Source organism: Homo sapiens, chromosome 3, assembly GCF_000001405.40.
Source record: "Homo sapiens chromosome 3, GRCh38.p14 Primary Assembly".
In the NCBI taxonomy this organism is placed as follows: domain Eukaryota; kingdom Metazoa; phylum Chordata; class Mammalia; order Primates; family Hominidae; genus Homo; species Homo sapiens.
This window is the reverse complement of record NC_000003.12, coordinates 39,232,501-39,260,232: the sequence shown is the minus strand read 5'-3', so window position 1 is coordinate 39,260,232 and position 27,732 is coordinate 39,232,501. Positions and strand designations below refer to the sequence as shown.

General features: G+C 43.7%; 1 long non-coding RNA gene across 1 annotated transcript, besides 2 other annotated features; it reads right to left on the bottom strand.

Annotated features, from left to right (window-relative positions):
• Positions 1-769: 769 nt before the first annotated feature.
• LOC102724104 (uncharacterized) lies at positions 770-27,732 on the bottom strand. The gene is made up of 3 exons (XR_940742.4): positions 27,431-27,732; positions 21,046-21,147; positions 770-1,631 (listed from the first exon to the last, which is right to left on the bottom strand). It is a non-coding gene; the product is annotated as an uncharacterized LOC102724104 (long non-coding RNA).
• Positions 3,213-3,262: a silencer, noted in NCBI's record as "silent region_14224". NCBI's record gives its function as "represses an Ori minimal core promoter by ATAC-STARR-seq in GM12878 lymphoblastoid cells {active_cell/tissue: GM12878}" and the evidence as "EXISTENCE:reporter gene assay evidence [ECO:0000049][PMID:35858748]".
• Positions 4,044-4,283: an enhancer, noted in NCBI's record as "active region_19695". NCBI's record gives its function as "activates an Ori minimal core promoter by ATAC-STARR-seq in GM12878 lymphoblastoid cells {active_cell/tissue: GM12878}" and the evidence as "EXISTENCE:reporter gene assay evidence [ECO:0000049][PMID:35858748]".

Here is a 27,732-nt window from a genome sequence, read left to right as displayed (position 1 = left end):
TCTGCGACAACATGGATGGAATTGGAGAACATGATGCTAAGTGAAGTAAGACAGGCACAGAAAGGCAAATACTGCATGTTCTCACTTATGTGTGGAATCTAAAGCAATGAAACTCATAGAAGCAGAGTAGAATGGTGGTTACAGATGGTAGGGGGTGGGGAGAGAGCAGAGAGCTGATGGTCAGAGGGTACAAAATTTCAGCTAGATAGGAGGAATATGTTGCTTTTTTCTTTTTCGGAGTTTTATTACACAGTGTGGTGAATCTAGTTAAGAATAGAGTATTGCACATTTCAAAATTGCTAAGAGAGTAAATTTCAGATGGTCTCACCACAAAATATGTTAAGTATTTGAGATGATGAGTATGTTAATTAGCTTGATTTAATTATTTCACATTGTATTCATAAATCATAACAGTGCTTTTTACCCCATAGTTCTATATAATTATAAATTGTCCATTTACAATTTTAAAAACTGAACAAAACCTAAAAGCACTTGAATTTCATCAATAAGAAAATGGTCCAATAAATTTCAATTTAGCCATACAATAAAATACAGTATAATTTAAAAGAATGAGTCAATTCTATAAATATGACCCTAAAGGGATGTCCATAATATATCCTTAAGTCAAAAAGACAAATTTCAGAGTTAAGCACATTTTTATTTTTAAATATAAACTATATATATATGTTTATATATATAAAATAAGCACATTTTTATTTTTTAAAAATTTGAGATGAGAACATATATACAGTTTTATATCTTTTTTCAATTAGCATTATAGTATGATCATTTTCCCATCTATTATATTCAAACATGATTTTGAATGATTGCAAAGGACTCAATAATAGACTTTATCCATCCAAGCCCTACTGACAGACATGGGTGTTACTCCCATGCTTTTCTCTATGAGGAGTGACAGTATGATGAACATAAATCTTTGCACATATCTTTGATTGTATGAAAGGAATTAGTAGACTAAGAGATTTCAGCATTTGTAAATCTCTTGCTAGCTACTGGAAATTTACTTTTCAGAGAGATGACACTGTGTTGCTGGCTCTCTAAGACTCCCAATCCCTGACCTTAGCACCACCTACCTTCCTAGTCTTTGAGGTCAGGATATTGTGGGCTTTTGTTATTGGGTGACAAACCAGCTACTGACTTTAAGAGGCAGAAAGAAAAGACTTCTGTTCTTAAAAGGAGATGGTAAGGCTGCCCTTTAGAAGAGAGAAAAGAAGAGGGATGAGGGGATTTTTAAAACAGGACCCATAACATCCCAAAACAGTTATTTTAAGGGAACAGAGACCACTTAGCACCTGGGCTAAGGGGACACAGGACAAGCCATCAGAGCCATACAGCATCAGGCAAGAGCAGGAGGTGGAGAGACTTGTTCTGAGGATAATGGGGTTTCCTAGCAGGAGAAGAAGAAATAGAGGTGAGCAGAGCAACCATAAAGCCCTTGTGCAGTTTCAATGTTCAAAATATCCACTTCTATACAAAACTTAAACAACCTGCAAAAGGCAACAGAGAGAACTGATTCAAGATTTAGCACAGTTGATTGGACTTTCAACGTATCCACCGTCATTCTGGATATACTTGTACATAGCCATCTCAGCATAATGTAGAGCTCACACCTGTAAAATAAAAGAAAGAACAAAATCAAACATTAGCAACTTTATTTAAATATTTTGTAAATTATCTCTCGGTTGCATTTCACAAATTATCTATACGTTACATGGAAGTAAAATTTATTAAAAGTTCAAACCATAGTGACTTTATGCATACTTTATACCTTGGGCTTTGCTGGCAGCAGTGATGCTCCAATCAGCCAGGGAAATCCATGAGTTCCAGCTTTAAGAACCCCTTGGCATATCCCGGTACTCTTGCTTTGGGGAGGAGGATGCCCAGCTGCCAGACTGGGAAACCTAATATCAAAAGGCTCATTTACACTTCCAGCACTACTATATGAGTTTCCCTTTGAAAGCGCATTATTTCACTGAGGAAATAGAACCAGAAAAGAACTTCCATGGCCTACCCCAACCACATCTTCCCATCTTCCTGCAGCTGTGCCAGTGCACTCTGCAGTCCCTCCTCGTATCATGGAAGAATCGTCCCTGCGCTTATCTAAAGCCAAACCTGCCACCTGAACGATGCATCCCAGCCCCTTTAACCTTCCCCTCCTGCATTTATCCCCTCTCCTGCATTATCTGTCTCTCCCCTCTGCTGGATAATTGGTATGCAAGCAGGCCAGAATACTTCTCATTTTTAGGAGCCTCCCCTTGATACCACATCTCCCCCAGCTCCTGTCCATGCAGAGGCACTCAAAAGAGTTCTCTCCAGACAGCTCCCTATGAGCTTGCCCCATGTGTAACCCTTCTATAGCCCGCAACCCAATGTCCCTGGCCTGTCTTTCCCCTTGAGGTGAGCTCATTCTTGAATTTTCTTCTCAACCCTCCCCCAGACACACTCTTGTCAAAGTCACCAGCGTTCTCTGTGTTGCTAAATCCCATGGTCCATAATCAGGCCTCCCCTTACTTGACCCATTAGCAGAATTAGGCAAAGTTTCTTGAAGCAGCTTTTCCATTCAGCTTTGGAGATGCCACTCTCTCGGTTCTCCAACAACTTCACTGGATGCTCCTCTGCAGTCTCCTTCTCTGGTTCCTTCTTGCCTCCCTAACCTCTGTGCATCAAGGGCTTCAGGCTCAGTCTCCAGACTTATCTGCTCCTCTTTCCTTCCAGCTTCCCTCTTCTTCTCCCCTCCCTTCTCTTCTGTCCTTTCTCAGCCAGTCGCAAAGCCATCTCTCTACACTGACAAGGTCTAAACCTTTTCTCCAGCCCAGACTTCTCTGAAGTCCAGATGTGTGTATTCAATTCCCTAACAACTTCCCTTGGATATAGAATCAGCATCTCCTGGCACTCATCGCAAAACCCACTCCCCTACAGTCTGTGCTGTCTCAGTAAATGACAACTTTATTCTTCCAGTTGCTCTGGTCAAAACCTCGGAGTCATCCTAGATGATCCACTTTCCCTGGCACTCCATGTAGGGCAAAACCTACAGTGGTTTCTTTTTTAAAATAGCTCTACAGGCCGGGCGCAGTGGCTCAAGCCTGTAATCTCAGCACTTTGGGAGGCCGAGCCAGGTGGATCACGAGGTCAGGAGATTGAGACCATCCCGGCTAACACGGTGAAACCCTGTCTCTACTAAAAATACAAAAAATCAGCCGGGCATGGTGGCAGGCACCTGTAGTCCCAGCTACTCGGGAGGCTGAGGCAGCAGAATGGCGTGAACCCGGGAGGCGGAGGTTGCAGAGCCAAGATTGCGCCACTGTACTCCAACCTGGGTGACAGAGCGAGACTCCATCTCAAAAAAAAAAAAAAGCTCTAGCCTGTAGAATGCAGTTTCCTCCCCTATTCTCACAACGTGGTTTCAGTCTTAGTCTGCGGCATTATTGAGCATTTTCATCTTTTCCTATGTATTAATTAGCATTTTAATAAAATATTGGAAAGGGCTGCCCAGGGGCTGTTAGCCAGATGCCATTTAAACCTGAAAGTCAAGAAAATGACTTTTATTTACAACATATTTATCATGGTCGTTAATGTAAACTGATCAGAGGCAGCAGAGCCAACACTGCATTAATTCATCAGTACTCCAAGTACAGGCAGATAGATATAGGCTGGAGAAAATAATACGCAATTGATGCCCATGCCAACTCCTTGGAGTACTGATCACACTCCATTTGGCTACTTCGTAAGGGCATCCAGGTATTTTACCTGTGGTGGCATGAACTGCTAAGACAGTACCAAAACCTTATACCAGGAAGCATTTTTTTTTAATGCTCAGTCTAGGGATGGTGTAATTGCAGCAATTAAGAGTTGAGAGTATCTTTGAAATCTCCTGTATATTTACTGGCAAAAAAGAATTGAAAAAACCATGTGTAAATCCTAAATACAGTGTCAGAGCAACCTTGAGAGAAGTAAGGAGCCCAGGTTATCAACCTTTAGCCTGGTCACTTTTGGCCACTCCCAGGCTGAGGGAACACCTGCCCCAGACTACTCTCTTCCTCCAAGTATTACAGGTGCCATCTGTGGAGTCCAGACTCCCCAACTGTACCATCTTCAGTGAGACCAACAGGGCCCTGAGGCCATTTTGCCACGTTCTTGCCTACAAGGTTCTGTCCTGGCCCCTCCTCAGACCCTGTCTCTGAAGCTGATGAGCCTGAACTTGAAGGTTAGACATCCACGCTCTGAGAGTGTTGGTCTTTGGAAATTACTTAACTGCCTCAGGCCTTATTACTCAGAAAAACGGGGTGGCAATGTCTATATTCAGGGTTGAGGAGAAAATGAGAGATTGCAGTGAAAGCATCTAGCACAGTGTATTGCCCACAGCAGAGGATTTGAATAGGCTCACTTCCCTTTTCTTCTGTTTGTTGCCCCAAAGGACACAGCTAGCTTCCCCAAAGTTAAGGGGCCCTCCCCGAGGCCCTACTGCTCCCTCTACCACAGTCGAGTGGACCAGCTCATTTGCATTCTTTCCTGATACACCACAATGTCAGCTTTGCTGTTGGTGATTTTACAGGAAGCTTTCCTTGCCCCATGTGTAACCCTTCTATAGCCTGCAACCCAATGTCCCTGGCCTGTCTTTCACCTTGAGGTGAGCTCATGCTCCTCCAGCCTTTGTCTCCCATCTTTTGTGCATGAAACAGCATGGTGGCCTTAACTCTAGTGTCTAGAAACCTTCCCATGGACTCCTCACTTCTCTTCCCTCTTCAGGAGAAGAATGAGATGAAGATTTGTAGCCTGAGGCCTCATGCACACAGGTATCCCCAGGAATGCCTAAGCAGCATACGCAGATTTAAACCTATCTTGGGGCTGAAGCAGGACCTAAAGTTATATGTACTTTTTCGTCAACACAGTTTTGCACAGAAGCAGAATATGAAGGATGCAGAGTTGAGGAGGCAAGAGGTGTCATTCTGCTCTGTGATGAACCTGAGTGGGCCCTTCAAAATACATGGCTTCTGGCTTTAGTGGCATGTGCTGGGTAAATTCAGCTGCTGCTATTCAGATGGCACAAAATATTACTAAAGTACTAAAGGCTTGTTGGGGTGAAATTAATGCAGCAAGAAAAATAGTGATTAAGTTTTCACTGGTAAAATTTTGACATTTGGCTGAGTAGGAGATAACTTGAAGTTGTAGGAGTAGCTATAGTTAGCAGTGCACTGGTATTTGTGGACTATATTTAAACATGTCTAAAAAAGGATGCACTTCTTTGGTATTTATGACTCATCTTTATAGGATGAATCATTTGCATGAATTAAATTTATCTCTTAAATCTAAAACCACAATTTGCTATTTTTTTCCTAATAAAAGAATAGTTTCTTAGACCATTTGTGCTGCTATAACAGAATACCATAGAGTGGGATATTTAAAAAGAACAAAAATTTGGCAGGGCGCTGTGGCTCATGCCTATAATCCCAACACTTTGGGAGGCTGAGGCAGGCGGATCACAAGGTCAGGAGATCGAGACCATCCTGGCTAACACAGTGAAACCCCGTCTCTACTAAAAATACAAAAAATTAGCCGGGCGTGGTGGTGGGCACCTGTAGTCCCAGCTACTTGGGAGGTTGAGGCAGGAGAATGGCATGAACCCGGGAGGCGAAGCTTGCAGTGAGCCGAGATTGTGCCACTGCACTCCAGCCTGGGCGACAGAGCGAGACTCTGTCTCAAAATAATAATAATACTAATAATAATAAAATAAAAAAATAAATAAAAAGAACAAAAATTTATTTCTCACAGTTCTGGAGGCTGAGAATTCCAAGACAAGGCATGAGCATTTGGTCTGATGAGGGCCTTCTTACCATGTCCTCACATGGCAGATGACAGAAAGACAAGCCACCAAGCTAGCCAAACGCTGCATGAAGCCTCATAAGAGACTTAATCCCATTTACAAAGGAGGAGCCCTCATGGCATAATTACCTCTTAAAGACCCCCGCCTCTTAATACCATCACATTGACAACACCTGGATTTTGGAGTAGACGCATTCAAACCATAGCAAATGGTAAAGAAAACACGCCTCAAGTGCCTGGGTGCCAGGAGACAGTGTCATGGTGCTGCAACCACTTTGGGCTGCCCATGCAGGACTTCCTAGCACAAGAGTCACAAAGCCTCCCACTTGTTCATACCACCTTCTATTGGGTTTTCTGCTCCTTGCAGCTCCCTGCAATAAGCTGGTAACTACCCTTCCCTGAATCCCCTGCTGCCACGCAGGTGTTCACCAGACATCCACCTTCCCACCTATACCACAGCCATCGAGCCACATAGGTGGTCTGGCCCCTCTTCCTGTCTGGCTTGGCCCTCAGGTCCAACTACTGTGCCCACTTTCCCATGCCACGCTGCAGGCCGGAGTCACTCTGCTGCACCCATGCCACACCACATCGTGGGCCTCTCCAAAACGCTGGTTATGGCCATCTGCCTAGACCTCTTCTCTCTCTGGGGTCTGCTCCTTCCCAGGACTCTGCCCAGGGAGCAGAGCACAGGCCTGTTGCCGCTGGATCCTACAGATGATCATGGGTGCTGCAGCAACTGCAGGGCTTTGCCCAAGAGGCAGAGAAGGGCCTCGCTCTCTGTGACACCTGAGTCTATACATTCGTAGCTGCCCTGCCCACCCCCTGCCTCCTCCTGCCCAGGAAATCTGTTTATCGTCTAGAAGGAGAGGAAAGGGGAAAGCCTCCTCTTTAGCATTGCCTAAGAAATTTAGATCTTTAAAAGGTAGAACCAGAAAAAAATAAGTTAAAATTCTTTGTGACTTGTCCTGCTTCACAGGGCATGGTAAAGACTAGGTGTCAGATAGATGTGGATGAATTTGGAAAGAAGCGATAAAAGAGAGGGCCAGTGTGCCACAGGGCATGGCAGAGCCTCTGGAGGTCAAAGAGGAAGGTTTCAGGTGGAAGAATTAGATAATGCAGGTGCTGTGGTTGGAGCCTTAGAGACCAGGCAAGACTGGAAGAATCCCACAGATGCGCTATGCTAACTGGGGGCGGGGGGAGAAAGAAGTAATCACAGAGGCACAGGAAGCAGCAGGCAAAAGTAGCCCCCAAGTCCTCTTCATCCTCCACTTCACACAGTCAACCCTCAGAGTCACCCCCTCCCTGTTGTCCTTCAACCAGACCCTCTGTCAATAGCCTCTCCCTGCCCTCACTCTGCACGCTACTATCGCCACTAGCTCCACTGCCAGCACCAAGGCCGGTCTCCCCAGCACTGCCTGGTGACCGCCTGCACACCTGAGTCTCCTGCCCCAGCTTCTCACCATGCATCCTCCCAGCCACTCCTCCCCAGGCCTTCCAGGTCCAAGGCCACAGCATGAGAGGAAATGGGATCACCTTTGCTGGAGCTCCTTTCTGTCTTGTCACCTCCTTAAAAGACTGTCAGCACTGGCTGGAGGCCTTCACCCCTCCATCGCCATTGTGGCCCATCAGTCCTCCTGTGCTGGGGGCTGGCCAGCAGTCCATGGGGCTGGCTGGAAGAGCCCGTAGGTCTGTGTGTGCGCACACACACACACATACATGCACACGCACATGCACACACCTTCCTAGGACCAAGAGAAGGGCCAAGTTTCATGGAGGGTATGGCAGTTGGGCTTAACGATGTGGAAGTATTAAGAATAAGAAGGAAGCCCCATGAGAACTCAGTAAGCTATTGGGAGAAGCCACAAGTCACTGGGTGGGTGAGACCAAGCTAAGAAGGTTGGTGACTGCTTGAAAGAGCAGTGATCCTGGGGACTTGGAAAGGTCCTGCTGACATGTGGGCAAAGCCCCCAAGTCTCAGAGAGAACCTTCCCCAAACAACCCTCACACAGCCAGACAAGTCAAATGCCCTCCTGGCCCATGGCCACCCTCAGGACCATTCATGAGGGGAGCCTGACATCTGCAGAGATGCCCCCTCTCTCCAGTCTCCTTATCTCTCCTCGTCAAAGAGCATCACTGTCCCCACCTCCATTCATGACTTTGTGTCCTAACTCCTATGATTTCCCTCTCTTCCAGGTTTTTCCTCCTCTGCTTATAGCAGAGGAGCAGAAGAGCAGGGCTGTTATACATGGAGGCAGACCCAGGCTTCAATCTCGGTCCAGCACTTCCCAGCTGTGCAGAGTGTTTCATCTGAGCCCTCCTAAATCCAGGCAGCTGTCCCCTGGTTAGCAGAATGTAGTCTTCTTGGGGGTAACTGGCATGTAGCTAAGGAAGCCACTTCTGTGCAAAGGTATCTGGGACCAGTGATGTGAAAAGTGTGGAGAAAAAGAAGCAGGAGGTATCTGGCCCCAAACCTGCCCCAGAACCTCTGAGAACTCCCTGGAACTGCGTGAAAGCCAGCAAGGCTATGGTGGTTTTGGAGTCTCAGGAAGTCTGCAGTCACTGGAGTGTACCATAGACAGTCCTGCTGGGAGCCAGGAAGAGATGTGATAGCAGGCAGGAGACGCCCGATGCCTGGCAGATGTGTAGGATGCCATTGGAGGGCATGGACTTGGCCCTGAACACCTGTGAGCTGCCCTCTCACTCCAGAAAGGTATAGAGAGATGCTGTCCTTACTCAGGGGAGACTGGAGACTCAAGATGACGGAGGCTTGGTGTTCATTGGGCCCCGTTAGTATCCTGGGGCATTTGAGCCACAATAGCCAAGGGACAGTGCATTTATTTCTGAACTTGTCTCAGCTTCTCCATGTGAAAAATGGTAATAAGAGTAGCATGAGACTTAAGCAGGTGGTTTCAACTCCTAGCTCCACCATATATGTACTGACTACAAAACTTGAGGCAATTCATTTAATGTCTCTGTGCCCTGATTTTCCCATCTGTAAAATAAACATAGCAATGGTGCCCAGTGTTGGGGTTTCTGCTGTTTTGGCTCCTCCAAGAAGCAGGTGCTAAGATGGGAAGGAATTGGACGTATGAGAGATGTGTTAGGGAGAACACCTGTGAGGGAAAAAGGGAGGCTGTGAGAGGCTGAGAAGCCTCCAGACCACAACACAGGTCTGTTCCCTGTGTGGAAGAGATGGAAGGAAAGTTTTGGCAAGGCCACTGGGATGTCATGGAGCTCAGGTGATGTCTCCCAGGATTGGAACTGCCATGCTGAGTCCCTCGATGGGAAGCAACTTCAGGGCACAACGGTCAAGTTCTTCTGACAGTCGGAGCTCTGAGGAGCTCTGAGGGCACCTTCTCACATCTGCCATTGGGCTGTCACAGAATTTAAGGATTTGCCTAATTCTGATAGAAGTGTTGAGAATAGAGCTAGTCTTATTTATTTTGAGCCCCCATCATATTCCTCCCAACATCCAGCCTGCTGGAACAAACTGTCTGCTCCCCATGCTCCCACTCTCCCCTGCTCCTCCCTCCTTCAATAAGCCTCCTGTTTTTATTATTTTCCCCCTCGTTTTCTTCCTATTTTCTTTCTTTTTAGGTCTCCTCTCAGATCTGCCCTCCAGCCACAGTCCCCTTCCAGGAAGGGGAAAGGCCACAGAGGGGTAGGCGGAGGGGAGAAATGGCATTGGGCAGGGGGGGTGGGTGATGGGTGGGGTGGGGCACCGTGTGCAGCCCTAAATGTGAGTGAGGGAAGGCCCGAGGCTGATGCCTCCATATGCCTCTGCTTCCCCACACTGAACCTTCAGGAAGTGTGGGCCAAGCAGGAGTCTCCCTCAGAACCACAGCCATCCCCCCTACTTAGAGGACCTGTGCCTGAGCTTCCACCCTGGCTTACTTCCCACAGGAGGCTAGGAAGCCCTTGCTAATCAGCATCCAGCCTTCACCTGTCAGCTCCTAAAGAGAGAAGAGAGCAGAGAAGAGAGCTGAGAAGAGAGCAGCTCTAGGAGCTTCCAACATTTGTTCCTCCTGCCCGGCACAACAAAGATCTATTTTAATTCCCTCTGCTGGCTAGTCACTAGCATAGTGGAATGACATTAATCTCCCTTGTCAGGGGGAAGCTGAGGAAGCCAATACTTCTCCTTTGAGGTTTGAGTTGCAAAACTCTTCCTCAATCTCCAGCATTATAAATCCTGTTTTTACTTTCACAGCTATGTGCAAAATCCAAATAGCACCTTTCTAAAAATGAATAGAAGAAGCCATGTCTTATTCTGAAATTAAGTTTCCGAGGCTCTAAGAGGAGAGGACTAAGAGGGGCTATTCCAGCAGGGACACTGCTACCCTTGATGGGACACGAGAGGAGCTGTGCACCCTGAAGGATGACCTGACCCCCTCCCTTCTATTTCTAATTCAAGGAACATGGCCCAGGATGAGACAGTCTAGGAAATTATGCACACCCAAAAGGGTGGCATCGTCTGGGGAAATGTCAGCATCCCAGCACAAACTGACTCAAAGAAAGGAACTACCATCTGTGTGTGTCTGCTGAATACAGGCATTGTGCTAAAGTAATCTTAGCAATGTTGTCTGCAGCCCTTTATGGCTTTTGGTGATAGGTACCCAGCCACAGGGCAGTCCTGAAAGTCTGAGAAATTAGTCACAGCATCATTCGGGTCACACCATTGTGGTGGCTGTTACCTGCAAGAGGCTAACAAAGAGGTTTTAGGGTATGACTTCAGGTTGACCAAGTCAAGTGCATGATCTTTCCTGAGTTCATTCCTGGAGAGTGTCTATGTGACGGGTTCCTGCCTCAGCCCTCCTGGCAGAGAGCCTGTTTGGCTGAGCTGTCATGGTATCCACTCTGGGTGCTCTCTTCCTGCTCTCAGTGGAGGAGGGTGGCAGTTCATCACTGAGGTGTGAGTGAGCCTCAGATGTTTACGAGGAGGAGTTTCAGGCGCATATAACTCAAAGAAAACGGCTGGTCTTTCGGAACTTGCTAGCAGACCTACCTGCCACCCAGAACTAAATTCAATGAAACTTTATTTCATCCCTTATAAAGCATCTCTCATTTTGTGGACTGGGATTGATTCCTTCAAAAGTTGCCCTTACAGATACCACATCTGCAATGGTCCAATCATAAGGGTAACCACTCTTGGTAAACTATGTACATGCTTTGCTTGAGGGCATTAAAGATCAATATGTCCATGGACTGGCCTCTTCTCAAAACCCAACCACCAGCCAGTTGCCTTTACCATAACTCTTATCCTTAAAAGCCACATCTGATGGCATGGCCATGATGGCTAAGTTGGGTGCCTGATGAATCCAGACAGAAATTTAATAGTAGGCCCAAGTTACAAGATTCCAGTTCTGGAAAGTCAGCCCACGTCCATCTGAAAGAGCCTATGGTGCAGTGGTGACAGGTGGGAGCTCCCAAGGACACTGCCTGGTTTAAATCCCAGTCATTCCACCCACCAGCTGTGAGACATTGGGCAAGCTCTTCACACTTTTTGGTCTCAGTTTCTTCCTCTGTAGAATGAGAGTGATAATAACGGCTAACTTCACAGTGTAAGAATTAAATGAATTAGTATTTGAGAACTTCTTAGACCTGGACCTGGCACATGGCACAAATTCCACGCACACTGTTTGTGGTAGTGGTGAGGGTGATCATTGTTACGTATGTCCTAGCAGTAGAAAGTGGCCCAGGCTGGGATTTGAACATAGTACCACATTACTACCCAGCCACACTCTTTCCATGAAGCTGTTTTTTGTTTTTTGTTTTTGTCTTTCTTTTCTTTCTTTTTTTTTTTTTTGAGAGGGAGTCTCACTCTGTGGCCCAGGCTGGAGTGCAGTGGCGCGATCTCGGCTCACTGCAAGCTCCGCCTCCAGGGTTCACGCCATTCTCCTGCCTCAGCCTCCCGAGTAGCTGGGACTACAGGTGCCCACCACCACGCCCGGCTAATTTTTTTGTATTTTTAGTAGAGACAGGGTTTCACCGTATTAGCCAGGATGGTCTGGGTCTCCTGACCTCGTGATCCGCCCGTCTTGGCCTCCAAAAGTGCTAGGATTACAGGCGTGAGCCACTGCGCCCGGCCCACGAAGCTGTTTTTAATTTGGAAATGTCCGTTCCTTGAGATTCAAAACTAAAAATTAGGAACTGAAAGGTAGAGAATTCATCTTCACTGGGTATTACTGAGTGTTTTTACATCATGGCAGCCTTCCCTTTCAGCCTGCTTGGTGTTGCCGACGCCTCACATAGGCTGAAAGCACCCAGCTCTCTCCCTCTCGAACAAGAACTATTGTTCTATCTATGGGAATAGAAAGATCGACTTTCACATTTGGAAAAAATTAAACAAACCACTTTAAAGAGGCTGAAAACTGACTGCTGGAATATTTAACTAGATTAAGAATTAAAATTAAGAAAGTTTCTTTTACCGTTTTCCCCAACTTTTTATTTTAAAAATGGTAAAGCTAAGAAGTTAAATGAGCACTACAACAAACACCATATAACCTTTATCTGGATTCTGCAACTTTACCATTCTGCCACCTGTGTTTGATCTCTCTGTGTGAGAGGAGAAAGAAAGAGTAAGAAAAAGAGACAGAAAGAGATTTTTCTTTGACTAAACTATCAGAGAGTAAGTGACAGATATATTACTCCTAATTACATTAGCATATGTGTCCTAAGGATAATGACTCCTGCCACATAACCACAATATTATTATCACACCCAAGAAATGTAACATTGATTCAGTAATATCACTTAATGTACAATCCAATGATACCCAAATTTTCCCCTATAGCTTTTTAAAAAATCTAGGATCCAATCAAGATTCAACATTGCATTGACAATTGATCGTCATGTCTCTTTAGTCATCTTTAAGGCAGAAGTGAGGCAAACTTTGTCTATGAAGAGTTAGGTAGGTCTGTGTCTTTTTTCTCTTTAAGACATTTATATTTTTGATAAATCCAGGCCACACTATCTTGTAGAATATCCCATATATGTATTAGGTTTGTCTGATTGTTTTCTCAGTATTAGATCAGGTTAAAATATTAGGCAAAAATGCAACATGGAGCATATATCAGGAGGTATATGAAGTTAATTTGTCACATTATTGGTAAGGTTAAGTTTCATCTCTTGGTTAAGATGGTATCTGTCAGATCTCTCCACTGTAAAGGCACTTTTCCCCTTTGTAATTAAAAAGTAACTAAAGTAATTGAACAGTGAGGAGATTGTACAGCATACTAACTATACTTGATAATAATGTATTATATACTTGAAAATTGCTAAAAGAGTAGATCTTAAATGTTCTCACAGCCAGATAATAAGTATGTGAAATGATGAATATGTTAATTCACTTGCCTTAACTATTTCACAATGTATATGTACATACCAAAACATCACATTGCAAACCATAAATATATACAATTATTTGTCAACTATACCTTATTAAAATAAATAATAAATAAATAAAATTGAGGACAAATTTTGAGACCATATGAATACTTTGTTCCCATGAAACCTTTCACCTAATGATCTTAGCATCATTGGTGGTCCTTGCTTGGATCCATTATTAGATTGGAATTGGAAAAATTGTGTTTTTCTAATTATATCATTCCTTCTATATTTATTATTTATTATCTGGCTTTGTAGTGGATGCTGTGATTGCTTTCCCGATTCTCCTTCAGACCAGGGCACTCACTCCCCAGCTGCTCAGAGTGTCATCTGCTGAGGGCTCTCAGCCAAGGCTGTCCCCAGGAATTATCCTCCATAGGAAGGAACTGCCTTCTCCAATGATGCCCAGGCATCATTCTAGACAATATGGGGGAGTGGATGGGAAATAAAAAGACCTGAGTCCCTCACCCCAACTTGGAACAACTTTAATGGGCCATCCCAACTGATAATGGCTGGAGGCCATTATCCTTAGCAAACCAACGCAGAAACAGAAAAACCAAATACTGCATGTTCTTGCTTATAAGTGGGAGCTAAACATTGAGCACAGATGGACACAAAAAGGGGAACAACAGACACTGGGGCTTACTTGAGGGCCGAGGGTGGGAGGAGGGTGAAGATCGAAAAACGTACTATGCTCACTACCTGGGTGATGAAATCATTTGTACACCAAACCCCAGTGACATACAATTTACCCATGTAACAAATGCAGCACATGTATCCTCTGAACCTAAAAGAAAGTTGGAAGCAAAAAAGAACACTAACATCTGGAATAAGCATCCTACTTGTTACTGGATGTCATTATTTCTAATCTCTTTCTATGGATAGAGTTAGGATACACACACGCTTATCTTTTTTTTTAAATTATGAGTCCATATTGATACTGATTTTAATCCAACAATACAATGGAAATACCCCATTCTGTGTTTGTAGCTCACTTCTCTCATGGTAAAAACAATTTAAAATGCTGAATAAAATACCGAACTCTTGGCTGGGCATGGTGGCTCACGCCTGTAATCCCAGGATTTTGGGAGGCTGAGATGGGTGGATCACTTGAGGTCAGGAATTCGAGACCAGCCTGGCCAACATGGTGAAACCCCATCTCTATCAAAAATATAAAAAATTAGCCAGGTGTGGGGGCGTGCAACTGTAATCCCAGCTACTCAGGAGGCTGAGGCAGGAGAATCGCTTGAACCCAGGAAGCGGAGGTTGCAGTGAGCTGAGATCACGCCACTGCACTCCATCCTGGGCAACAGAGTGAGACTCTGTCTCAAATAAGTAAATAAGTAAATAAATATATAAAAATATAAAACCCAACTTCTTGAAAGCACATTTAATATGGGAAAAGAGGAATGTTCCAGCAGGAACTAATTTAACGTGTGTAAGTAGAGCTCTGAAGCCAGCTTTAACATTAACAGCATTTATAAAACTTTGTGAAATTGAGTATGACTTTTTCTACTTCAAGGAGCTAAAGAGACAGAAAAAGCTCATGGCTTACTCAAGGCAGAGAGTCAAAGAGGATAATGCTCCAAAGCTGGAACCCCAAAGGACTGCATCCATAGTGTAACAATGCACTAACAATGAACTGCCTCCATAGCGTAACAATGAACTAAACAACGAACTCACCCTTCTCCCACCCGCCACCCTCAAGTAGGCCCCACTGTCTGTTGTTCCCTTCTTTGTGTCCATGTGTGCTCAATGTTTAGCTCCTAGTTATAAGTGAGAACATGTGGTATTTGGTTTTCTGTTCCTGCGTTAGTTTGCTACGGATAACAATGAACTGCCTACATCCCAACCCAGGGAAGTGAAGGTCTTGATCCTTTGTCCTGAACAGAAGCAGGAAATATCTCCCCTGGCAATTGTAACCATGAGCCATTCCCTCACATGAATTTGAAGCCTCAATTCACTCTTTCCCAGTGGTCAGAAAAGCTCACCTAATAACTTAAGGTGGTCCTGGAACAGATAGTAACCCTAGTACCAGAAAAAGGTAAATCCAAATCTCTGGAGGAAACTCCCCTATCCCAATTCTGAAAGAATATCCACAAATGTCCAAGGTATTGAAAGTTAAAAATAAATAAATAAAACATACAAGGAGAAAAGGCACCATAAGTAAAGGCTAGCAGGGAAAAAAACTGACAGAATTAGTCCTAAATAAATTCAGATATTGGAAATAAAAGAAATAGAAGATAATACAATATTTAATATGTTCCAATAAGTAACAGAGAAGCTTGAAAATATTAGTTAAAGGGAAACAGCTTCAGGAAAAAACAAATGTAACTCCTAGAAATAAAAATTGTGATAGAACTAAAAACTCAAAAGACAGACTTAGCAGTAGAATAAATGCAGCTAAATAGAGAATTAGAAAATGGGGAAGACAGAATTTAAGACAGGCCAAAAGGCACAAACACCCAGGGTTAGAGCCAGGATCAATGGGGGAGGTTACTGGGAATCAAATCTCCAGTTGACATTAGGGAGAACTTGCCTTCTTCTGCACTGTGTTTGTTATATAAATAATAAAGGCTTGTTGAAGAAAATTTGGAACTTTATGGAAAGCTATTTGAAAATTAGCTTTATTTCACTTCCCAGAGATAAATATTCTACATAGGTTTCTCAATGATTATACTTCCTCTGTTATTTCACTTATTTATTCAACATATATTTACTGGACACACTGTGTGTGTGATGGAGTAGGGGAAGACACCAGAGAAACAGCATTGAACAAAATAAACTCATTTCTGTCATAACAGAGCTGACAAGGTAGGGGGCAGAGAGAGAGGACACATGAGAATACAGAGACCCTTCACCTAGCCTTAGAGTAGAGAGAGGTCAGGATAGTCTTTCCAGGGGAAGACACACTTAACCCAGGAATTAAGAATTAAGGAGAAACTAGCGTAGGTGAAGATGTAGCAGAAGAGGGTTCCCAGCAAAAGAAACAGTATGTATAAAGTTCTGGAAGAAAGAGAAAAGAAAGAAGAAAAGAACATTAGTGTGCCTGGATGATAGGAGGTGGGAAAGGTCAGGACAAAAGGGATGAGCCTAGACAGACTCGAAAGAAAAGTCTTGGATCTTAACAGCCAGTTCTTGGAGGACTTTGTAAGTCATAGTGAAGTATTTGGACTTCATCGTGCATGTAGAGTGGGACCATTAAAAGAGATTAAGCATGTTTTCACTTATAAATGAGAACTAAATGATGAGAACACATGGACACATAGAGGGTAACAATACATGCTGGGGCCTGTCAGAGGATGGAGGGTGGGAGGAGGGAGAGGATCAGGAAAAATAACTAATGGGTACTAGGCTTAATACTTGGGTGATGAAATAACCTGTACAGCAAACCCGCATGACACAAGTTTACCTATGTAACAAACCTGCACATGTACCCCTGAACTTAAAAGTTAAATTTAAAAAGATATTAAGCAAGAATTATGCAAGATTTAGAAAAATTTCTGGCTGCAATGCTGAAAGATGGGGAACATGCAAGGAGAGGCATTTTTGGAAACAACAGTGATATCATGGACTCTGCGACTATTTCCCCAGCAATGATTCTTCCCCCATCTCATCTTACAGTAGCCATGAAGTTTGGCAGGTTTGACCCCTCCCAGCTCCTAGGGTAGATTCTGACGGACTTAGAATAATTTCTCTTTACAAAGAGAGTAGTTAAAGAACGAGGTCTAAGCCAATCAGCCTATGGCATTTTTCTGTCTATGTGTGGCTTCAAGGATAACCCAATCAGTGTTTTGATTGGAATTTTGGGACACACATTCTGGACAGTGTGGTGTTGAGTCCATGAAATCTGAAGTTGCTGCAGCCTTTTCATCTCCATGAGAGCAGTCAGCCTCAGGAGGAGGTTGAATGTGGGGAGAAAGGAAGAAAGAGGAAATTTCAGAGAAATTGAACTAGAATTCTGATCAAACTATATCTGAGGCCAATATACCTCTGGTTTTTATGATTAGAGCTGGTATGAGTCAGATTTTCTGTTACTTACTTCTGAGAGAATTCTACCTGATATAAATAAGGGGGTCTACTTTGCAAGCTGATTTTGAAGTACCTGTGGGATATATAAGTGGTGCTGCCAATTGTTCATTTTTCTCTTTCTTTAAACTTTTATTTTAAGTTATGGGGTACATTGCAGGCTTGTCACATAGGTAAATGTGTGCCATGGGGATTTGTTGTACAAATTTTTTTATCACCTAGGTATTAAGCCTAGTATCCATTAGTTATTTTTCCTGTTCCTTTTCCTCCTCCCACCCTCCATCCTCCAATAGGCCTCAGTGTGTATTGTTCCCCTCTATGTATCCATGTGTTCTCATCATTTAGCTCCCACTTATAAGTGAGAACACATGGTATTTGGTTTTTTGTTCCTGTGTTAGTTTGCTGAGGATAATGGCCTCCAGCTCCATCCATGTCCCTGCACAGGGCACGATCTCATTCATTTTTATGGTTGCATAGTATTCCATGTTGTCTAGATACCACATTTTCTTTATCCAGTCTATCATTGGTGGGCATTTAGGTAGACTTCATGACTTTGCTATTGTGAATAGTGCTGCAATGAACATACGCATGCATGAACATTTTTCTAAGTCATAGAGTCAATATTTTTTAAACCAAGGTGTGTGCCATTTTTATATAAAGACTATTATAAAACTACTGGTGACAAATATTTTTGTCCAGTTTTCTGTTTTCTCTTTCGTGTTATTTATGATGGATGTTGATATTCAAATGCTCTTAATTTTCAGTTAGACAAATCTGCTAATTGCTTCCTTTATGAATTCTTTTATGTTAAAATCAGGGACTTTGATATGCTCTAAGCTGTCCAGAGCTTGAGTGGACCCCAGTGGGAAGCTTATCATATTTCACACTTCTGACCACAGAGATTGGTCATGGGTAAGCACATGTACTGAGATGGCCCAAAGAGAGTCAATTTCAATTTCAGGACATTTGTGGGAGCTGTTGGGAAGCAGTCTCTCTCTCTCTCTCTCTCTCGCCCTCTCTCCTGGAGTTCCTCAACTGGTGAGATAAAAATATAATCTCATAAATATCTTGCTACCATTAGAGACAAAAGCAGAACCAAAAGATGGTGAAAGATGGTGAAAGCAATCCCAGTGACCTAGCTCAAGGACCTGGATCCCAACACACCCAGGCTTTGGCCTGTTCATTATGTAAGCCAGTAAAGTCCCTTTTTTACTTACTTCAATTTGATGAAGGATGCTTTTTTGTTTGTTGCAAGTTTTTATCACTTGCAACCTAAAGTATTGGGCAATGAAGAACATGGAACAGAATCTCACCCTGAGATAGTTATTTTAGAGACTAGGACTTCCCTAAACATCTCTTACTGGAAGTAACTTTGTCTAAATTGCACACACCTCCACCCACTAGAGAGGCTTTGCCTGCCTGACACATTCTCATACCTAATTCAGCTTGGCTCCCTGAAGGTCTCTGGTGACTGTCACTTGAAGAGGGATCAAGAAAAATAGCCAGACAGAGAACAGAAGGACCCGAAAGAGTTGAAGAAGCCCACTCTTCCTATTCACACCTTGGTCTTATTTCATCTTCTGACTCAATGTGCTGACTCTCCATCCAGATACACCTGCCTTTAGGTATCTGTTTTTCCCACTTTAGAAAAATCTCTTAATATCTCTCTCTGTCCCTTTAGCATTCTCAAAAGCAAATGCACAGCAGAGCCAACAACACCTACTTCTGAAGGAATGTTGTGAGCATTAAATGAGGTAAATTATGTTATGCAAAAACATGCTTTAGCTTAGAACCTGCATTAGTCAGAGTTCTCCAAAGAACCAATAGGACATATACCTACTGGTGGTGGTGGTGGTGGTGGTGGTGGTCGTAGTGGTGTTGTGTCTGTGTGTAAGAGAGAGACAGAGAGACTTTAAGGAGTTGGCTCATGAGATTATGGGAAATGGCAAGTTCAAAATCTGCAGAGAGGCTGGCAGGCTGAAGATCCAAGGAAGAGTTGATGTTGTAGTCTTGAATTATAAGACGGCAGCAGCAACACATCTCTGGGACACTGCCTTTGGGAGTCTCAGCACCTGTGTCTCTGAATCTCTTAACATCTGAAAATAGGAATGTTAAAAGTGAAATCTCCTGATATTAACTGGCAACCAATTCAAAGTGTTATTTAAAATACTCTGAGGGCTAGTCTAATATCCAGCATCTATAAGTAAAAAACAAATTTACAAGAAGAAAACAAACAACCCCGTTAAAAAGTGGGCAAAGGACATGAACAGACACTTTTCTTTTTCTTTTTTTTTTCTGAGACGGAGTCTCGGTCTGTCACCCAGGCTGGAGTGCAGTGGCGTGATCTCAGCTCACTGCAAGCTCTGCCTCCTGGGTTCACGCCATTCTCCTGCCTCAGCCTCCCAAGTAGCTGGGACTACAGGCGCCCGCCACTGTGCCCGGCTAATTTTTTTATATTTTTAGTAGAGACGGGGTTTCACCGTGTTAGCCATGATGGTCTCGATCTCCTGACCTTCTAATCTGCCCGCCTCAGCCTCCCAAAGTGCTGGGATTACAGGCGTGAGCCACCGCGCCCTGCCCTATGAACAGACACTTTTCAAAAGAAGATATACATGTGGCCCACAAACATATGAAAAAAACCTCAATATCACTGATCATTAGAGAAATGCAAATCAAAACCACAATGAGATACCATCTCACACCAGTCAGAATGGTGATTATTTAAAAATCAAAAAATAATGGATGCTGGCGAGGTTGTACAGAAAAAGGAAGGCTTATACATTGTTGGTGAGAATGTAAGTTAGTTCAACCATTGTGGAAAACAATGTGGCAATTCCTCAGAGCTAAAAATAGAAATACCATTTGACCCAGCAATCCCATTACTGGGTATATACACAAAGGAATATAAATCATTCTACCATGAAGACACATGCATGCGTATGTTCATTGTAGCACTATTCACAATAGCAAAGGAATCAACCTAAATGTCCATCGAAGGTAGACTGGATAAAGAAAATGTGGTGCATATATGCCATCAAATACTATGAACTATAAAGAGAGCATGTCCTTTGCAGGAACATGGGTGGAGCTGGAGACCATTAGCCCTAGCAAACCAATGCAGGAACAGAAAACCAAATACCACACGTACTCACTTATAAGTGGGAGCGAAATGATGAGAACACATGGATACATAGAGGGGAACAACACACACTGGGGCCACCTGAGGGTGAAGGGTGGGAGGAAGGAGAGGATCAGGAAAAATAACTAATGGATACTAGGCTTAATGCCCGGGTGATGAAATAATCCGTACAACAAACCCCCATGACACATGTACCCGTGACTTATACGACAAACCTGCACATGTACCTCTGAACTTAAAATAAAAGTTAAATAAAAATGAATAAGTAAAGAAATAAAATACTATGAGGGCTAAAGAAAACCCACACATTTTCACATAATCCTGCCCAATGTTTGAGAGAAAATAAAACCCGCTCTCCCATGATTAACTTGACACATAGATGATCAATCCAGCCAAAAATCAGGGAAGCAAGAATTGCTACATTTGCCTATTCCTTGAGTACAAGATATGAGGATGATCTTCTCTGGAAAACTCAGAGGCAGAAAACATAGGGACCTGCTCACTGTCCCCATCAGAAATACATTAAGATCTCCTGCTCCTCTACCCCCAACCACTCTGGGAACCCATCGCACCCCACCTGCCCTCATCCCTTGACTCATAAAATCTCCTAGCAGCTGGGCAGTTACGAGAGAGCTGAGAACTGGAGGACATACCTGAAACTCCCTTAAAGTACCCACAGGACTCCAGCTATCTCTGCTCTCCATTTAAGACTTCAGCAGCTTATGTGAGCACTTGCTTTGTTGAGAAATCTATTCCTAGAAAACCAAGGAAAATAAATAAACCCTCAAAGTAATATCAGAATCCCACACACTGGGGCCTATAGGAGGGAGAAAGGTGGGAAGAGGGAGAGAATCAAGAAAAATAACTAATGGGTACTAGGCTTAATACCTGGGTGATGAAATAATCTGTATAACAACCCCCCGTGACACACATCCTTTTCCAGAATAAGGCCCAGAGAGGTTAAGGGACTCGCCCAAAGTCACACACAAGGTCTTCCTATACCCTTCCCCAAACCCTAAAGATAGTGATAGAATGTTCCAGAAATATTCCCTCACCTCTCCCCTTTCTAATGGGATCTATGAGCTGACACCTAATGATATGATTTAACAAGCAAAATATAGGTTAATATTTTGAATTATTAATGTATGCTTCTTTCTTCCTGTATTTTCTCCTTCTTCTCTCCCCATATGAGCAGGTAACATGGACAGGACAGAAAAGAAATATCCTAGAAGGCTGGCTGCTATAATAATATTCACAAATACTATTATTATAATTAGACTATAGTTTAAATCTGTAGGAGAAAGGACTTGCAACATCTTGACAAAGGCAGGCAAAGGAAATGCTTTCGTTGCCTCTAAGGAGACTTCCCAGGGTTGGACCTGATCTGACACATCTGTGTGTGTTTCTGTCTCCCCATCTGACTCTGAGCTCCATGAGACCACAGACTTGGTCTTTTTTATCCACTGCTCTGTCCCCAGCATCCAGAATAGTGCCTGATGCAAAGCTGATACTCAATAAATATTTGTTGAATGAATTAATATATGAGGGGCAGGCAAGAGAGAGGAAGAAGGAGATTGAGAAAGGAGAGACTTCAGAGCCTTGGAGAAGGAGCCAAGAAGCTGTCCTCCAGAATGAGCTGGTGGGTGAGTCTGACAAATGGCCACAGGAATGTTATTGGTGCTCAGTCACCTTCTGTGATTTTCAGGGTTCCACTGGGGAAGATCCTACTATCACCCACACCAGGGACTGCCAGCTGTTCCCTCCACCAGCCTTCACAAGGACTTCATTAGTGTCTGCCCCTTACAGATCACCCAACAACATTGACGCCCTCAGGGATCCACTCAATCCTGGTCTAAATTCACCACATGGACATTCCACACCACAGCACTTCAGGACAACCCTAAACCCAAGAACAGAGGAGTGGGGCCCTGGAAAATGTCTTATCAGGCTCCTTAGAAGCAGAAGCTGAGACAGGGTTCAGGTGCAGGTGATTTGGGATCAGGGATGCTCTCAGGAGAAACTCCGGAGGGAGGGAGGGAAGCAGGATGGGGCAGGGGAAGAAGTTAAGCAAGGATCTGGGGCCAGCTGATGTCAAGGCTCAGCTGGATGCCTCAGAGAGCTCTGGGCTATAGACAGCACCCAGTCTGTCTTTCTCTAGGCCAGAGGGCTAGAATGTCATCGGTTATGGGCAGAGGAGGCATACCTCCCAGGCACCAGTGGGGCAGTGCTCTATCCTCCAGAAAGCAAGCCTCCAGAGAAGGTCCCTGGTATGAGCCTTTGGCAGCAGCTCTAGCTGCTAAAATGGAGGTCAGGAATCTGGGCAGGGTAGCCCCTGCTGCAGGAAGGAACCCTCCTTCAGGTACTCAGAGATGAGCACTGGAGCGGCTTTTGAGACCACCTGTATTGGTTTCCTACAGCTGTCATGACACAGTACCACAAACTGTAGGCTTAACACAACAGAACTTTATTCTCTCACAGTCCTGGAGGCGGGAAGTCTGAAATCAAGATATCTGCAGGATTGGTTCCTTCTTGGAGCTCTGAGGGAGAGACGATCTGTTCCGCACCTCTCTCCTAGCGTCTGGTGGATGTTGGCAACCCTTGCCTTTTCTTTGCTGGCAGACACGTCACTCCAGTCTCTGCCTCTGTTGTCACATGGTGTCCTCCCTGTGTGCCTGTGTTTCTGTGTCTTCACATGCGTCTTTATAAGGACACCAGTCATCAGATGTAGGGCCATGCTAATCCAGTGTGACCTCATTTAACTTAATTGTATCTGGAAAGACTCTATGTCTAAAGTCACATTCACAGGTACCAGGGGCTAGGACTTGAATATATTTTTGGGGGGAGTACAATTTAACCCTCAACACTCCTGAGCTGGGAGAGCCCCGAACAGAGCCAGTGGGTAATGATGTGAAGTATGGCGGAGGCGGCTTATGGCCTCACACTTCTGGGTGTCGCTCGGCAGGATCTCTCTGGGCTTCCCAACATTTCCACCAGATTCTCCAAGGCAGAAACCACCAAATTGGTGCCTGCAGAAGGAAGGTGTTCTGTTTACTGCAGGACTTAATCTCAGGCTGTGCCCAGCAACCTCAGAGAGTCATGGTGGAGCCATAAAAAGTTCTTTTTCTGAATGAAGGAGGCAAAAATTTAAAAAGTGACACACTGAGTGCCAACTATCTCCTCAAATGTTCACACATAGAATCTATGGCCAGACAACCAAGAAACTGGTTTCAGAGGGTGCCCCTGGCAAGAGCACAGGGTGGCTGGGGACAGGGATGGGAGGAGGATTAATTTTCAGCCTGGATTATTTTTGTAGTCTTGGAATTTTTTATTATGAATATGTATTTTCTTTTCAATAAAGAAACAAATTGAGAAAACCATCTATTTATTTAAAATGGGGTTTTAAAAATTTCCTATAACAGTAAGACTCTAAGTGTTAAAGTTTCTTCTAGATTGAATATTATTACAATTATTTATTGGTGAATGTTGAATCAAAATAACATATTTTGATAAATAGTAAACATAAAAAATAAAATTCCAATGAATATGCATCTCATTGAGATGAAACTTGTGGTTTTTCCTAATTAGTTCATGTTTCCATAGGTGAATATAACTTATTAACAGAATAAGACAGAATTTGGCATCAATTCTAATTCTGTCTTTTTAACTATAATAATAAATAGATGGTAATGGAAGGACTTTCTTTTTTCTTTCTTTCTTTTTTTTTTTTTTTTTAGTGACAGGGTCTCACTCTGTTACCCAGACTGGAGTGCAAATGGCACCATCACAACTCACTGCAGCCTCAACCTCCCAGGCTCAAGCAATTCTCCCGCTTCAGCTTCCCGAGTAGCTGGGACTATAGGTGTGTGCCACTACACTCAGTTGATTTTTTAAAATTTCATTTTTTTTAAAGAGACACAGTCTCCCTATGTTGCCCAGGCTGGTCTCAAACTCTTAGGCGCAGGAAATTCTCCTGCCTTGGCCTGCCAAAGTACTGGGATTATAGGTGTGAGCAACTGTGCCCAGCTGGGTTATCTTTTAATAGCAATGACACTCAATTTTTTGAACCCTTTCCAAGTGAAACGCTAAAAATCGTATGGAAAATTTGCCATCATCAAAGTGTATTTTAATTAATTATGTGTCAACTGTAACTCTTTTAACTCCTTCATGTTTGCTGAAAACACACACATACAAAAACACACATTTGTTGAAAACACACAAAAGTTGATTCCCCTCTAAAGACGGGGAACAATTATATAAAATCTCTTTATACTCTTTCCTTTTTAAAAATGTGTTTTCTTTTTTAAAAAAATTATTAATAGAGATGAGGTCTCACTATGTTGCCCAGGCTGGTCTTGAACTCCTGGGCTCAAGCAATCTGCCCCCTCAGCCTCCCAAAGTGCTGGGATTACAGGCATTAGCCACCGCTCCTGGCCTTATACTCCTTCTTAACCCTTGAAGATGATTATGGATTTTCTGTAAACAGTTCCTTATCTTTCCTCCCAGGATCTGTGACCATTTCAGCCACTTCCTCATCATTCCAAGGCCTGCCCCACTTTCCCTATTGACAGCCACATTGCTAATAGCAAGCGCTTTAATTTCATCACCATTTGATGTCCACTATGACCCCAGCTCTCTCTTCTTGCCCGTTCTTAATTTCTTCCCTGGGGCAAGTGATGTTTTTAGTGCTCCAAATTTTAATGCCCTGAAGTCATCTATGACGCTAATCCTTAAACGTCAACTTTCTCTAATTTATCAGTTATAATTGAAGTCTTTTTTCCTAGGTAATTTTTCCTAGACTTCCAGCTAGGAGTCTTTGCACCCAGAAGCAAGGACGCCTCATCCAGGTCGCCACCCTAATGCAGAAGGGGAGGGGCAAACAGCAGCTCCCTGGGTGTGATCTTCTCACCTCTAAGCTGAAGGAGACACCCACTTGCTGCTGGTGTCTCAGCAGATCTGCTGCTGTTAGCAGGAAATAGAACCACTCCCTTTCTCAGCTCCTTTTCAAAGAAATGCAAACCTAGACATTTCAAGACAGAGGGCATTGCCCTGAAGTATCACTGAGTTATCTCTCAGTACCCCCTAAAGGTTGACAGTTTTTCCATTTGTTTTTGCTCACTTTCTCCAGCATGAGTTCTGTGGTCCTTGCCTGCCCATCACTCCCCTGCCATAAATTACAACTCTTGCCTATAGAGAGAATACTCTGAGAACACAGGCGTCCCACCTTCCTCCCTTCAGGACCCCCTCCTCGCAGACAATGCTCCGCCCCTTCCCCAAATCATGGACCAGAGTTTTCTGCCTCAACTTGATATCCCTTCCATCTGGCCAGTGCGATGGGGTAAAATAAGCATTTATTTTACATATCGTTTATTTGGATCCCACACAGACTGAAGCCTGGAGTAAGAGCTATTAGGTTGGTGCAAAAGTAATTGCCATTACTTTTAATGGCAAAAGCTGCAATTACTTTTGCACCAACCTAATAGTAAAAGACTGCCTTTAGGGAGTTCACCATTACTGGCAAAACCAACATGAAAAATGACCCTTAGATCTAGTGTGGCAAGTGTTCCATCAGAGTAAGCACAGCCCAGGGGAGGAGACCTCTGGCCTCAATGGGAGGAGGACCTTGTGCAGGAGAAGAAGGGATATCTGTTTTGAGGAGCTGACCCAAGAGGTAAATTGCAAAGGCTGAGCAGAAGTTGGATAGGAAAGTAAAAGGGGCATCTGAGTCACAGGGAATAGCCTTAGCCTCTCTAAGCTGGGGGGTTAGGGGGAACCTCAGAATTGGGACATAGTTCCCGCACATGGCAGCACCAAGGGAAATTAACAGAGGAGATGTGTAAGATAAATCAAGGTGGGCAAAGGAGACAGAAAGCCTTTTAGCATGAAGTCTAAAAATTACACTAGTGCTAGCTGGGAGGATTATCAACAATATATGAATCCTGTTGAGTAGTAGCAGCAGCAGACCAAGCCAAACAGTGAAAGAGTACAAATTTTAAAGATAAAAGGGTAGAATTCCAAAAAAGAAAACCTTCCTGCCCTCCTTTACCCTCACTAAAGCCTCTCCCTTACCCAAATGGTCTAGAAAGAGCAAGAGGGTAAGGAGCTATGATGAGACTAGCCAAAGGCTGTGCCAGTTTCCAAAGATGGAAGAGGAGGCTGAAGGCTTGAAATTTTTAGAAAAATAGTCCTGATCCAGAAAAAGAGGGAATCTGGGTACTTTAGGGTGAGAATTTAAAAGAACAAAACCTTGGAAGATGAGGAGAAGGTAGCCAAGTGAAGAAAGGAGAGGTGGTCTGTACCATCTGCACCAGTCAAGAGACCATCCACATGGTAATGTCACCCATGCCCTGGGTTCTTGTAATCTCCCAAGATAGAAATCAAAAGAGACTAGCAGGTATAGCAGCAAAGAGAAAATTATATTAGCTCGTGCACAAGGGAGCTGGCACTAAGAAAGGAAAAGGAATAGGCTGCTCCCCAAGGGCAATATGTGGGTTAGTATTATAGGGTCTTTCTATAGGGAAGGGTTACATCAGGGCACATATAGGAGAGGTTTTTCTAGTGCTTGCACAGTGGCTCAACACACTTCTTTATACATCATATGTAGCATTAGCATTTTAAATCGCCACCCCTGGGCATGATTTTTAGCATTAAAATGAGGAAGGGGTAACTATAGGTTGGATTTTAAGACTAACTGCACACGTGGGGCTCTGAGGAAGCCTCCAGCTCCCTGAAATAGAAACACCTAACAGCTTCTTGAGTCTTTTGTTACTGATTGGCTGAACGTTAGATAAGCTAGAGCTTAAGCAAAGGGCTTTTATTCCCCCTCCAAAACCATCTTAAAATAGGGAACCAACCAGCCTGCCAACCAGCATGCCTGTCAGACATGAAGGTCTGACAAGTGGGATCAGGAGAAATTAAACCAAGAGCACAATTCCTACTTTGTATGGTTTTCATTCTATCTCTGGAAATCCAAAATAAAAAATGAACAATACTGTGCGTGTTCTTTTGCCAGAAGCAGGAAAGCAGCCCATCCAAACACACCTCACCATTCCTTGGCTCAAACCTGCAGTTCAACACGAAGTCCATGCCTTTGTCTGCCCTCCAAGTCCATGCTCTTTCCACTGTACCTGCTCTAGCATCTTCTAGAGGTGAGCAACTTTTTTCTGTGGTAATCCATTGAAAGACAGTTTTAAAACACCTCCTCTGTGTCAGGCATGGTGCAAAGTGCTAGTTACCAAGATAAAACAGGTGTAGTTCCTCTCCTCAGAAGGCTTAATGGGAGAGATATTAGAAAGCTGGAAGAAATTGATTGCAGTACAGAGAGAATCACCAGTGTAAATAAT